The 12,986-nt window shown below is 39.9% G+C and overlaps 1 long non-coding RNA gene across 2 annotated transcripts, besides 3 other annotated features; it reads left to right on the plus strand.

Annotated features, from left to right (window-relative positions):
- Positions 15-5,299, plus strand: MOCS2-DT (MOCS2 divergent transcript). Of its 2 annotated transcripts, NR_034107.2 has the most exons (3): positions 15-321; positions 2,413-3,207; positions 4,032-5,299. It is a non-coding gene; the product is annotated as an MOCS2 divergent transcript (long non-coding RNA). The 2 variants fall into 2 exon arrangements; NR_104654.1 differs by lacking the exon at positions 2,413-3,207.
- Positions 4,316-4,815: an enhancer, noted in NCBI's record as "H3K4me1 hESC enhancer chr5:52409973-52410472 (GRCh37/hg19 assembly coordinates)". NCBI's record gives its function as "activates a minimal SCP1, AML or CMV promoter by ChIP-STARR-seq in primed H9 embryonic stem cells {active_cell/tissue: H9 hESC(primed)}" and the evidence as "EXISTENCE:reporter gene assay evidence [ECO:0000049][PMID:30033119]".
- Positions 9,025-9,483: a transcriptional cis regulatory region, noted in NCBI's record as "candidate enhancer chr5.1275 targeted for multiplex CRISPR interference". NCBI's record gives its function as "positively regulates MOCS2 gene expression with high confidence in K562 cells {active_cell/tissue: K562}" and the evidence as "EXISTENCE:mutant phenotype evidence [ECO:0000015][PMID:30612741]".
- Positions 10,438-10,610: a transcriptional cis regulatory region, noted in NCBI's record as "candidate enhancer chr5.1276 targeted for multiplex CRISPR interference". NCBI's record gives its function as "positively regulates MOCS2 gene expression with high confidence in K562 cells {active_cell/tissue: K562}" and the evidence as "EXISTENCE:mutant phenotype evidence [ECO:0000015][PMID:30612741]".

A 12,986-nucleotide genomic window follows, 5' to 3' on the forward strand; every position in this document is an offset into this window, starting at 1 on the left:
CGCCTGCACGGAGCATGCGCACAACCAGCTCCGCCCCGCGCCGGGCTCTAGCTGTTTCCCTCAGGCGGCCTGTTCCACGCCAGGATTAGTTTTGCTTCGCAGATGGGCCGTGGTGGTGAGAGGAAGCAATCAGTATGGAAATGGAGAAATGGCTTACCATGCATGTCCTTCTCCCCAGGAGGGAGGTCGTGGTGCAGGCGAGCAGACGCCAGACTCCTGGACACTTGCCGCCTGCGTTATGGAGGCTTAGCTAATAACCTTGCAGGGGTCTTCAGGCTTTTCCACTGGCTCACCTTTAGGCTTCTGACACTTTTACCTACGGTATGTGAACCTCGAAAATTTGAGACAGGTCTCAGTTAACTTAGAAAGTTTATTTTGCCAACGTTGAGGACATGCCCGTGACACAGCCTCAGGAAGTCCTGAGGACATGTGCCCAAGGTGGTCAGGGCACAGCTTGGTTTTATACATTTTGGGGAGACAGGAGACATCAATCAATATGTAAAAAGTACATTAGTTCCTTCCAGAAAGGCGGAGACCGTTAAAAGCAAGCCCCGCCCCCCCCAACTGGGGGCTTCCAGGTAGGTAATAGACAGTAGCATTCTTTTGAGTTTCTGATAAGTCTTTCTAAAGGAGGCAATCAGAATATGCATCTATTCTTTGTCAGCAAAAGAGGTGACTTGGATAGAATAGGAGGCAGATTTGCCCTGAGTAATTCCCAGTTTGAAGGGGCCCAAGATTTTTTTCTTTCCCAGGTATATGATTAGTGTTTCTTAAAGACAGAATATCCGCCTGGTCAGAACATTCGAACTGTATGACTTTTCCTGTTTATTGGCTGCTCGGTAATTGTATACTGTCCGTCCAACTTTCCCAATTCTTGCCAACAAGAACTCTTGGCTTTAAATTGCTTGCGTCGTTAAGTGGATGTAAGTTACACGTCCCTTTCCTTGGAGCTCACAGTCCTGGGTAGGAGAGTTTTAAATATGAATGATAATTCCCTGTAATACTAAGGATCTGTGTTACATTTCAAGGGTGGAAGGGGAAAGTGGTTGTGTCACCTGGGGAGTGAGAAGATGCTGAGAAGGTAAATCTGCTAGAATGGTGGCAGTAAATGACAAGAGTGGGAGTAGAGCACGAAGAAATTTCACTTGCCTCTGACAAGCCACAGGGATATGAAGAAGCATAATAAGTTCACAGAAGGGCAAGTAGTTGGCAAGGCAGGTGTGCCTCCAGCAAAGGAGGTGATGAGAAGTGAGGCTGGAGAGTCCTTGGTAGGAAAAATTGACAAGGAGCAATGAATACCAATGTGTATCCTGGTAAAGTTGCTAAACATAAAGGATAAAGACTATATTCACACCCAGGCATAAAAACAAGGGAATGACAATAGTGGCCTTAGACTCCTCAGTGGCATCTGATGGCAATGTGCAGTGTGTAAAAAAGGCTGAGAACAAAAGCATGATCCCATAATATTACAGCCAAACTGGTGGGGCAGGATTCTCCTAAATCAGCAAAAACTCAAAAAACACAATACCCAAGAACCCTTCTTAAAAATCTTTCTTGGGCAAAAAGTCCACTCAATCAAGAGTAATCAAAGTAAATAACTCAGCAATAAAGGTATTAATATGGGAAAAATGAAAAACTAAAAAAACTGGCATTGAGATTTTAACCCATTCAAACGTAAAACTAAGATATCAATTATGGGATATGATTATAAAATAAAATGTAAATGACATCAGAATATTAAAAAAAAATGGAAACTGTCCAAAGTGGGAACATATAGTTACAAAATATCAATTCAGGTTTCTTAATATTTTTCATAATCTTCTTTATTTTAGAAAATATTTTAGGAGCAACTATCTTTTACAAATAAACAATAATCTGATGATTTATAATCCTATCAGTTTCACCAGTTATTTTGTTGATAAATTCAAGTAAATATAGGTCAATAATATTGCCTTGCTTTCATTTTTTTATTTTCTAATTCCTAATGAGGTGAATCTTTTCATATTTTCATTGAGCACTTATACTTCTCTGTGAAGTTTCTGTTCACATCGTTTATTCATTATGCTGTAGATATGACACAGTTCTTTTTTTTTTTACAAAATACAGCCCCATCTATAATTTGTGGATATGCAAGCAAAACTGATACCAAAATATTCCAGGCTTATTCCATAGGCTTTGATTTTACTTTTCTTATGAATTCATTAATTAAATCAGTGAATCATCACAATGGTATATAAATTATTTTAGTAATAGCAAAATGACTTTATGAACATTTGCATTTCACTTAAGCTACAATTTTTTGTGAAAACATAGTTGGAGCCACCATTTTCCCAGTTATTTTTACCATAAGGAATCCTATTTGGTTAAGAAAAAAAACAAGTTGAGGCAAAAACATTTCCATTTTGTTTTCAGATTGAAAAAAGACGAGATTCCATGAGACTAGAAATGTAGGAGCATCTCAGACCTTCACAGAACGCTCTGTTAGAAGATGAGAAACATAACGTTGCTTGTGAGAGGTGAAGCCAGCTGGACTTCCTGGGTCGAGTGGGGACTTGGAGAACTTTTCTGTCTAGCTAAAGGATTATAAGTGCACCAATCAGCACTCTGTAAAAACACACCAGTCAGCGCTCTGTGTCTAGCTAAAGGATTGTAAATGCACCAATCAGCACTCTGTAAAATGGACCAATCAGTACCCTGTAAAATGGACCAATCAGCAGGACGTGGGCAGGGACAAATAAGGGAATAACAGCTGGCGCCCCTAGCCAGCAGTGGCAACCCACTCGGATCACCTTCCATGCTGTGGAAGCTTTGTTATTTCACTTTTCACAATAAATCTTAGGGTTGCTTACTTTTTGGGTCCATGCCACCTTGAAGAGCTGTAACACTCACCACGAAGGTCTGAGGCTTCATTCTTGAAGTCAGACTAAGAACCCACCGGAAGGAACCAATTCCAGACACACGTGTAGTAGCAAATTATCAAAAATGTTCATTGCCTTTTCTGAAAAACAATTTTCCCAGAAACACCTGGCAGAATCAGAGTTCATTGTGTCAAAAGAAAAACTTTGGACAAATTAAAATGAGCAAAGAACAATTTGTGAAATGTGCCCCTCTCCCAACCAGAACAGGTTCAAAGAGACTCCAGTGCTGCCACATGATCAAAGAATTATGGACAAAAAAAGCAAATAAATTACAGGAAAAGAAAATGAGGTACAGAAACAGCTGGATTGGTTACAGCTTGGTGTTTACCTTACTTGAACAAGGTTCGAACAGTTGGCTGCCTTTGATGGGCTGCAACACAGTGATTGGTATAAGAGTAGGTTACAGCCTGTTTACACATGCAGTTAGGTTACAATTCACTGTGTGTTGAGAAACCTTTAGGCCAAACTTAAAATTTGTAAGGAGGCAGCTTTAGGCTTAACTTGATTTAAAAGTTATTAGATGTTCCATCAGTCGTTTCGCCAATAGGTAATAGGTTTTTTTGGTTTTGTTTTCTGTGCTATTAAAATAGTATATAAAACTTGTCATCATTGATTCTGATTTATCATGTTACAGTTCAGTCTCTAATTGAACTGAGCCTATTTTTTTCCGTAAAATCCAACCTATTCATCCATTTATACAGATTTTTTAAAATCTAAATATTTTATATCAAATTGCTAAAAATGTTTAGTCACATTCTTTTTCTATTGCTGCCCATATATTTTCTGCCATCATTTTCAGCTGCTAAATAGTATCTAGTCCTAGATATCTGGTTACCCATTATCAGGAACTCTTCGTGAAATGCTTTAGTGACCTTGTTTAAGTCAGTAATAAAGTTGAGATTTATAATCATATTCTATTACCAAAAAAAATACAGGTAATAGATTTTCAAATGTCAGCCCATGTCTACTCCTTTATTTCCCAGTGTGGCAGAATTTTTGAACAGTGAAAATATTTCTGTCTGAGGAAGTTTGGACTATGTGGTGTGAGATCCGTAGACATTGGACTAATGTCATTAACATATTTTAATATTTAAATTTCTTATTAAAAAATAGATAATGCAGTAGTTACTTTTTGAAGGACGACCGAAGCAGGATATTTCCCTGACCCCTTCATGGGACCCACGTCAGAGGTGTTTACTCAGCCTGCTGCCCACAACTCCTCACAGGAGGGAGCGCACAAGTGAACGAGGGTGAGGACTGGAGAGCACCAGCACTGGAACAACCCGGCCACTTCGGCGCTACTGGGATCAAACTCCATCACTTGGACACACTGTGTTCCACCCCTCGTGGGAGGGAGCATGCAGGTGAGAGGATGCAGGAGTCAGGGTGAGCACTTTTGGGCTCCAGCAGGAGCAAACTCTGTGCAGGGCCCTGCAGCAGTGACTGAGGGGCGGCCTGTGACTCCCAAAGCCCCAGAGGACATGCTACAGTGCTCTTTTAGCTCTACCATCCGTAGGTGGCTTAAGTGTAAACAGCTCAGTGGGCCCTTTGCCTTTTTGCGTGAGGCAGCTGCCCTAGGCAAGAGTAAAGGGCCAGTGTCACAGCCTTCTGTATCTGCACTCATGACTCCTGAGCTCTTGTCCTGCATTCAGGGAAAATGAGGTTACACAAAAGAATTCACAGATGGTAAATGCGGGGTATTTTATTCCCAGTGAAAGTGGCTCTCAGCAGGAAGGAGAGCAGAAAAGGGGATGGGCTGGGTAGGTAACCTTCCCCTGAAGTCCTGCCATCTCTGGCTGGATTTTTCTCCAAAGTTACACCATCAAAATGTCCCTCTGAAATCAAGCCACTTCTCTCTGACATCCAGCCGTAGTCCCTCACGTCCAGTTGCTTCTCCTCTCTGCTGGCTGAGTCTGTGGTCTTTATAGCACAGGATGGCGGGCAGGGTGGGCCATGGGTAATTTAGGAAAAAGCAACATTTGAGCAGACAAAAGGGAGAGAAGTTCTCTACTTTGGGCTGCGGTTTCAGGCTTTTTGGCTTGAGGGTGGGGTTTTGTCAGGGACCCTCCCTTTTCTGCCTAAAATTTCTCTGCCTCCTGCCTCTATCACTGTATCACTAGTTTGAAGTAAACCCATCTGGAATTACTGATTTTAACAAATCACACAGAATTTCAAGCACCTTTCTATGCAAATGACTTGTGAAGACATAGAGTATAGTATGCCGTTAACAAACAGCCCAGCAGTGTGCCTTGCACCTTGTAGGTGTACAAAATATTAAGTCAATTTTATAATTGAAGGAGGTAATTTTAAAATGCTACATCCATGTTGTGTAATTTTATTCATTGGTCATTTTAAATAAAAACAAAAGCCAGAATAAACCATATATATTGTACTTGTTAGTTTATTCAAGGAAATTTAGGTCAAAAGAAGCACACCTCCTTGTGGTTAGTTATTCCAACTGCAAATCATTCACCTTAAAATGAAAGAACATGGCTATAGGAGCTTTTTGCAAATATGTTCTTCACTGATGATTTTCTAAAATGTATATATCAAATCCCCCAGTTTCAGATGCCAGAGGAAAGCCAGATCTTGTAATTTCATTTCTGCAAAAATCTAAGATATGCACAACAAATGGATTTTAGAAACAGAAAAATATACCACACAGATGTTGAACAATGAAAACCAAAGCTCTTTTTTTTTTTTTTTTTTGAGATGGAGTCTCACTCTGTCACCCAGGCTGGAGTGCAGTGGTGTGATCTCAGCTCACTGACACGGCTGCCTCCCGGGCACAAGTGATTCTCCTACCTCAGCCTCCCGAGTAGCTGCGATTACAGGCATGTGCCACCACGCCCGGCTAATGTTTTTGTATTTTTAGTAGAGACGGGGTTTCACCATGTTAGCCAGGCTGGTCTCGAACTCCTGACCTCAGGTGATCCGCCCACCTCAGCCTCCCAAAGTGCTGGGATTACAGGCATTAGCCACCGCTTTTAAGGAGCATATTGTGGGCTCTAGAAAGCTCCTAAAACTGCCTTTTCAGATGTGTTAAGAAGGAGAGCTGTGGAAAAAAGTCTGCAATATCTCACCAAAGGGAAGTTGGTGAAGCAGAAGTCTTCATTAAAATAGAAATAAGAACTGAGGCAGTGAAGGTAAGAAAGGGCCTGAGCCCAGAGTCCTTGGTGGATGGCCCAGGTAAGGTTCTTCTAGTCTTAACAGTGCTCGGTAAGGAAGCCACATCTACCTTTTATTAGCCTTTCAGCTCTGGCCGTAGAAATGATTGATGCCTGAGTATAGGGCAAGAGTATAAACTGAGCTACATCTCCTTAAAAGTAGCAGAATTCAGAGGTCCAAGTTGAACTAAGGATTGAGGATTATCTGAATCTCAAGTTTATTCCTGGACTGAAAGAGAATATACCTGGTGATGTGATGTGTTATGAACTGCATGTCTGTGTCCCCCCAAAATGCATAGGTTAAAATCCTAACCCCCAAGCTGATGGTATTTGAAGGTGGGCATTTTGAGGTAATTAGGTCATGAGGGTGGAGCCCTTATGAATGGGATTAATGCCCTTATAAACGCGACTCCAGAGAGCCTGCTTACACTCTCTTCTATTTGAGAATACTGCAAGAAAGTTGTCCATTGGCAACTCGGAAGAACCCTCACTAGAACCCAACCATACTGGCACCCTCATCTCAGACTTCCAGTCTCCAGAACTGTGAGAAATAAATTTATGTTGTTTATAAGCCAACCAATCTATAGTACTTTGTAATGGCAGCCCAAACTAAGACACTAAGTAAACCCAGACTGAAGACCTTTAACAAAACTGCAAATGAGAAACAGCCCAGTTTGGCTAATGGAGGATGTCTTCCAAGTCTATTCTCACCCTACCCCATGCCCTTGGGCTACAGATAACTCTTCACTGCACTTCAGGGGTCAGCACAATTTTTTGTAAAAGGCCAGACTGTAAATATTTAGACTTCCCAAGCCGTGTGATCTCTGTCACAACTACTGAGCTCTGCTATTGCACATGAAAGCAGCCAGAGGCAAAGAGCAAAAGAGTGAGTGTAGCTCTGCTTCAGTGAAATTATTTGCAAAAAGAGGAGATGGGCCAATTTGTCCCACAGGCCATATTTGCTGACCATTGCAGTGTAGTTCATAAAGTAAGGAAAAGAGAAAAGAAGTAAGGGAGAATTCAGCCACATTACCAGCAGGATAACTAGGTTTGGACAAATAAGTTTCAGTAAAATGAGAAACAAACAGGAAAAACATAAACCAGTTTAAGGAGGGAAAATATATATTTCAGCCCAAAATAAATAAAGCTAATATGAAAAAGGTAGTGTGCAAATAATAGACCAAAGGATATGTTCTAGTGGAAAGCAAACCTCCTCCCAAAGGGAAAATTCCCTAGTGTACTTCACACCCCAAGAGTTTACAAGGACACTAATTTGTATAAGAAGACTTTGAGGATAAGATAAAATCATAACATAGAAATAAAAAGTTATAAGAAAGTATTAAGGACTAATATGATAACAATTACAGAAGAAAGCAATAAATAAATGAGAAAGAGGAAAAAAATGCCACCACTGGTAGAGACTCATTATTGCTTGAGAACAGCACTGTCCCGAAGAACTTTCTGCAGTGATCGTGATGTTCTGTAACTGTGCTGTTCAATACAGTATCCACAAGTGCCTACTGAACACTTAAAGTGTGGTTAGTGGAGTCAAGGAATTGAATTTTAAACTTTATAATTTATTTAATGAATTTAAATTCAAATAGCCACACTTGGCTAGCAGCTATTGATTCAACTGCAGTTCTGGAGGAAACACTGGAGTCAATTTCAATGAACACAGAAAAAAAGAAAATAGGTTAAACAAATACAGATAACATGATAAAGGGAGAATAGATACAAAACCCACAGAATATAAAGTTAACCTGTGTCCCTGAGTAAGAATAAGCAAATGGAATATGACATACATTTTAGGTTATAATAGAAGACAACTTTCTTAAATAAAGGAGGAATTTACATTACAGATTCAAAGGACAGTGTATTCCGGTAAAATTTAGAAACCTAATGAAATATTTCCTGGTCTTTATTGGATTTTAAGAATAAAATGTCTTCAGGTATCTGGGAAGAATATAAAAAGTTACACCTGAATGAAAATTGAGCTACTTTGTGATTTCTTCACAGTCACATTTATTATCAAAAGGCACAGAACATTGTCTGCAAAATGCTGAGGGAAAGAAACTGAGCCTAAAATGTCTTACATTCAGACATATTATCATTAAGCTATAAAGACAGCAGGCAAATATGAAATAATTTGGGAAATACAGTACACATAGGACTATCTTATGAAACCTTCCATATAATAAAATCTAATCAAACAGGAATTGAAGTGAAAGCCATTGTAAAAAAGACCAATGGCAAACCGAACTATTTAAATATACAACCAAGTTTAAATAAACATGGAAATTATGGTTATAGAATATAAATGCATTTTAACTTAAGAGGTGAATATTACAGTATGCTGAATTACCTTAGGCCTGGTTCCCCAGAAGTACCACCTGAAATGCGAAAACAAAGTCATTTATTAAGGAAATGCTCCCCAGAAATACTGGCAAGGAAGCGGGAAAGGTAAGTAGGGAAAGGGGAGAAAGCAAACAAGGATACAAAGGTGCAATTTCAGGCAAAACTCCAGCAGAGCAGAGATGAGGATTTCTGATTAAACACAGCAGGTTGAGCACCTGTTTACCTCTTCTCCCTCTGAAAAATGATGTTAAAAGGCATAAACCCACAAGGATGAGGAGGCCAGGAGAGAAAACAATAGAAAAATGTTGGAAGCTAGATAGTAGATGGGACAATGCCAGTTCTGGTCATGATGGAGTAGCTGGATTCATGCTTACCTTTTCACAAAAACTGTAAGAAGTGAAAAGATGTATTAAACAACTGTCTTTGATGCAGGATTTTGGCTCCTTTGCTCAGCTAGGTCCAGGTTCTTGTTTCATGACCAGGAAGAATTAGGCACACAGACATCAAAGAGTGAGGGGAGTTGAATTTATGAAGCAAAAGGAAAGCTCTCAGCAAAAAGAGGGGATGTAGGGGTTGGTTCTCCTACCTGAAGACAGGAAATTTCCCCAATATGGCTGAGCTTGGGGCTTTTTATGGGCTCAGAATAGGGAGTGTGCGCTGATTGGTTTGTGAGTATCCAAAAAAGGTCAAAGTGAAGACGCCACTCAAATATGGGCGTGACAGTGTAGAAAACTAATTAGGAAAGGGTAGATATGTGTAAAATAGGTGTAGAATGGGGAACAATCAGAGGAAAGTGCGCCAAATGGGAAGGTGGGTTCTCAATCCAGTTGGAGGATATCCCTAGGACAGTTTCCAGCTTGAAGGTCAGGTTTCACTGGGGACCCACCCCAACTGCCTAGGCATTATCTGCCTTCTGCCACTATCATCGGCAAGCACCTGATAGCAAGGGTTAAAGTTCCTGAGAGAAGGAAAACACACATGGCAAATCTCATATTCATTTTAGCTTTTTTCTTTAAGGACATTTTCTAAACGCTTGCACAGGGAAATCAAGCTAGGGAAAACAGCAGGTAGATTGAAAACAAATTAATGGAGATACATGGTGTAAACACTAACCAAAAAAGCCAATATGACTATATTCACATGGAACAAAATAGATTTTAAGGCAAGATGTAGTATTAGAGAGAAAGCATGATATTATTAATACATAATAATAAAAGGCCCCATTCAAGCAAAAGACATAACAATCCTAAATTAACTCTTTTGGGATTTACTTGTATATCTTGTTAAGCAGGATCAAGCCAGTGTTAGTCTAGGGTTAATTTTACCCACTACTGTGGCAGAATTCTTCTGAGTACTCTACCCAACATCTTGTGAATTATGAGGTTTTTCCAGTCAGCTGCCAGGGACAGGCACTAATCCTGGACCTGTGAGTTCTATGGATTTTTTTTCCTTATTCTCTACCTTGGTTCTTTCTCTGGCCTTGGGTAGTTTCCTCACACATGTACTGATCAGGACTCAGCTGAATGCTTAAAGGAGCCCTCAGCATGTCTCCAGAGCTCCCCTCCTGTTCACATCCCTCCTCTCTGGTGGTTTAGCTTACTTGGCTTCCCCAGATTCTCATCTCCTTCTTCCTAATTCAAGGAAACCACTGGTTTCTGCCTGGTTTCTCTCTTATTTGCAATCTGGAAATTCTCACCAAGCAGTGAGCTGTGCCAATTGTATTGTCTACCTCATCGGTTTTCCATCTCTCAGGAGTCACTGTTCTTCAGTCCCTGTTGGTCAGTGTCCTGCAAACTGCTGTTTCATGTATTTTGTCCAGTTTCTTAGTTGTTTAAACCAGAAGGGTAAATCTGGTCCATGTTACTCCATTGTGGCCAGACAGGCTTTTTCTACAGCATTATATGAAATAAAAGCCAAAGAGATCATTCCAGTTTGTTTCTTAGGATCTAAGGGTCTGGATACCTGGATTTGTATGCATACTGACAGGTTAGTGGCTGAGAATTTAGGGTCAATTTTTCTAGGTATATATCTTCAGTTGACTCCTATATTTTGCTCTGCATTCTCACACCCACACACCTTTGTGCTTTATCTCACACTCCAGGTTTCGGAGGCATAACCAGAGCCTTCTCAGTTGTAGCCCTTTGTTTAAACACTCTAGACTGTGTTCCAGCTCCCTCCATCCCATTCCTCCAGCTGCTTTTCCTCTTCCAGGTATCCACTGAAATCTCATTCTCTCTCTCTCTTTCTCTCTCTCTCTCTCTCTCTCCATATATATATATGTATCTCTTCTCTCTCATTGTGGATATGTCCTGTTGAAGTTTCTTCAATTTTATTTAAATAAGCATGTGGTCAGTCTGCTATATGGCCCATAAAACCCCACCTTTACATTTTTAATGCTAGTCAATTCTCCTAGCACCTTATCTATTTATTTTCACTCAGGGAATCAATCAAATTATTAAGTAGAGTGCTAAACAAAGCAAAGCAACCTAATACTTATTTAACATTATCCAAGTCCAGCCATCATCACATTTCACTTAGCTTCAGGAATCCATTTTAACATTAAGTTCTTATCACAAAAATTAAATTACAGGGTTATTGCCTTTTATGTATATTTGAATTGCATGTACTAGAAGTCATCCAAATAAAAAACAGTAAAAGTTTAGTTTTGTATAACATTTTGAACAATGGTAACTAAAATGAAAATAAATTCATTAAAATCAACAAAATTATCAAAATCAATTAAAAATTAATAAGAAATTGCTACTTTTAAAACGTGCTGTCTGAATACATGCTATTTTTGTTCTTGCCACATGGTGATACTACTTTAGCTAATAAATTACAAATACTATCCTTCAACAGTATGTCTTAAATTATGCATCCTTTGAATACTACTAAGTCTTCAGAAGTGAATTCCTAGCATGAACTGTGATCACCAAGTTTATAGACCTAACCAATTCCGTAGTTAACTGAATTATTGAATAGTCAGGGCTCAACTACCAAGGTTTCCAGGGATTCCTCACTGTAGAGAAGAGAAGCTGTTGTTTCCTAAAAGTGTTTGCTTTCAGCTTTCAGAGATGTCCTTAATGCAAAGGCTAGGGAGGTCAAACTTACAAAGATCTGCTCACACAAACATATGAGTCCAAGTTAGCTAAGAGCACTCACACTGTCTGAATCTAAATGCTGAGAGATAAAAATGTGCCCCAATCAGTAATCAAAGATTATTAGAAAAATATTGTAAAATATTAGGGAAGATGGAGATCTCGTCCCCTGATTCATCAGGTAAGGTTATCAGGGATAATCAGTGAACACAATTTAATTTCATATATGAAATATTTGTTTAGTTTGTCCCCCCTGCCCCCAGCCCCTGGCTATTAAATCCTTAAACATCAAGGACCCTTTCTGGCCATAAGAAAAGCTAGCCCAACCTGAGCAACACAGTGAGACCCCCATCTCTACCAAAAATTTTAAAAAGTAATCAGGCTTGGTAGTGCACACCTACAGTCCTAGCTACTCGAGAGGCTGAGGCAGGAGGATGGCTTGAGTCTAGAAGTTTGAGGCTACAGTGAGCATTGACACTGCACTCTAGCCTGGGCAACAGAATGAGACTCTGTCACACACACAAAAATAAAGGCTGAAGGAAGAAAAAGACAAACAAACAAAAAAGTAAAGCTAGCAGTTTTTGAGAGCCTTCTTGGATTAAGTATTATGCTCTGTGCTTCTCATTGTTTTTTATGCCATTTAATTCTTACAACAACCCTGTGAGGTAAATACAATCATTCTTATTTGACAGATATGGGAGTCTCAGATACCTAGGGCCATTCATGTAACAACAAACAGAACCAGCGTTTGAATTGGATTGTTTGTACCCCAAATCCCACACTTGTCCTTCATCTCAGGATGCTTCATGTCTCCCTTGAATATGTGCCCCTATGCCTTCTACGTTACACATTTCTCTGTCTGAATCAGCATCTCACCCTTAATTATACCTGACAATTATCTGCTGGAGATAACCTATATATTCCTTGATTATTTATAATTGTTTAAAACTAATGATTAAAGGGCCTCATGTCACTATTATGGCCGAGTTCCCTAATAAATATGCACTGGTTTGTTTTCTGTTTGTTTGTTTTTTGGAGACAAGGTCTTGCTGTGTCACCCAGGCTGAAATGTAGTGGTGTGATTATGGATCACTGAAGCCTCAACCTCCTGGGCTCAAGCCATCCTCCTGCCTCAGCCTTGCAAGTAGCTGGGACCACAGATGCACACCACCACACCTGGCTAATGTTTTTTATTTTTACTTTTGTAGAGATAAGGTCTCCCTATGTTGCCCAGGCTGGTCCCAAACTCCTGAGCTCAAGCAATCCTCCTGCCTCAGCCTCCTAAGGTGTTGGGATTATAGGCATGCATCACCTTGTCTGGCCTAATGTGCACTTTGAATGGCCCTTTGAAGGTCCTGATGGTTTACTTGAAAGAATAATTTCGGGGGAAGATACAGACCAATGCTGCAAGGACTATGTTAAAATCTTCATGACCATCTCAGAAATAA

This window comes from Homo sapiens, chromosome 5 (assembly GCF_000001405.40).
Source record: "Homo sapiens chromosome 5, GRCh38.p14 Primary Assembly".
Classification (NCBI taxonomy): Eukaryota; Metazoa; Chordata; class Mammalia; order Primates; family Hominidae; genus Homo; species Homo sapiens.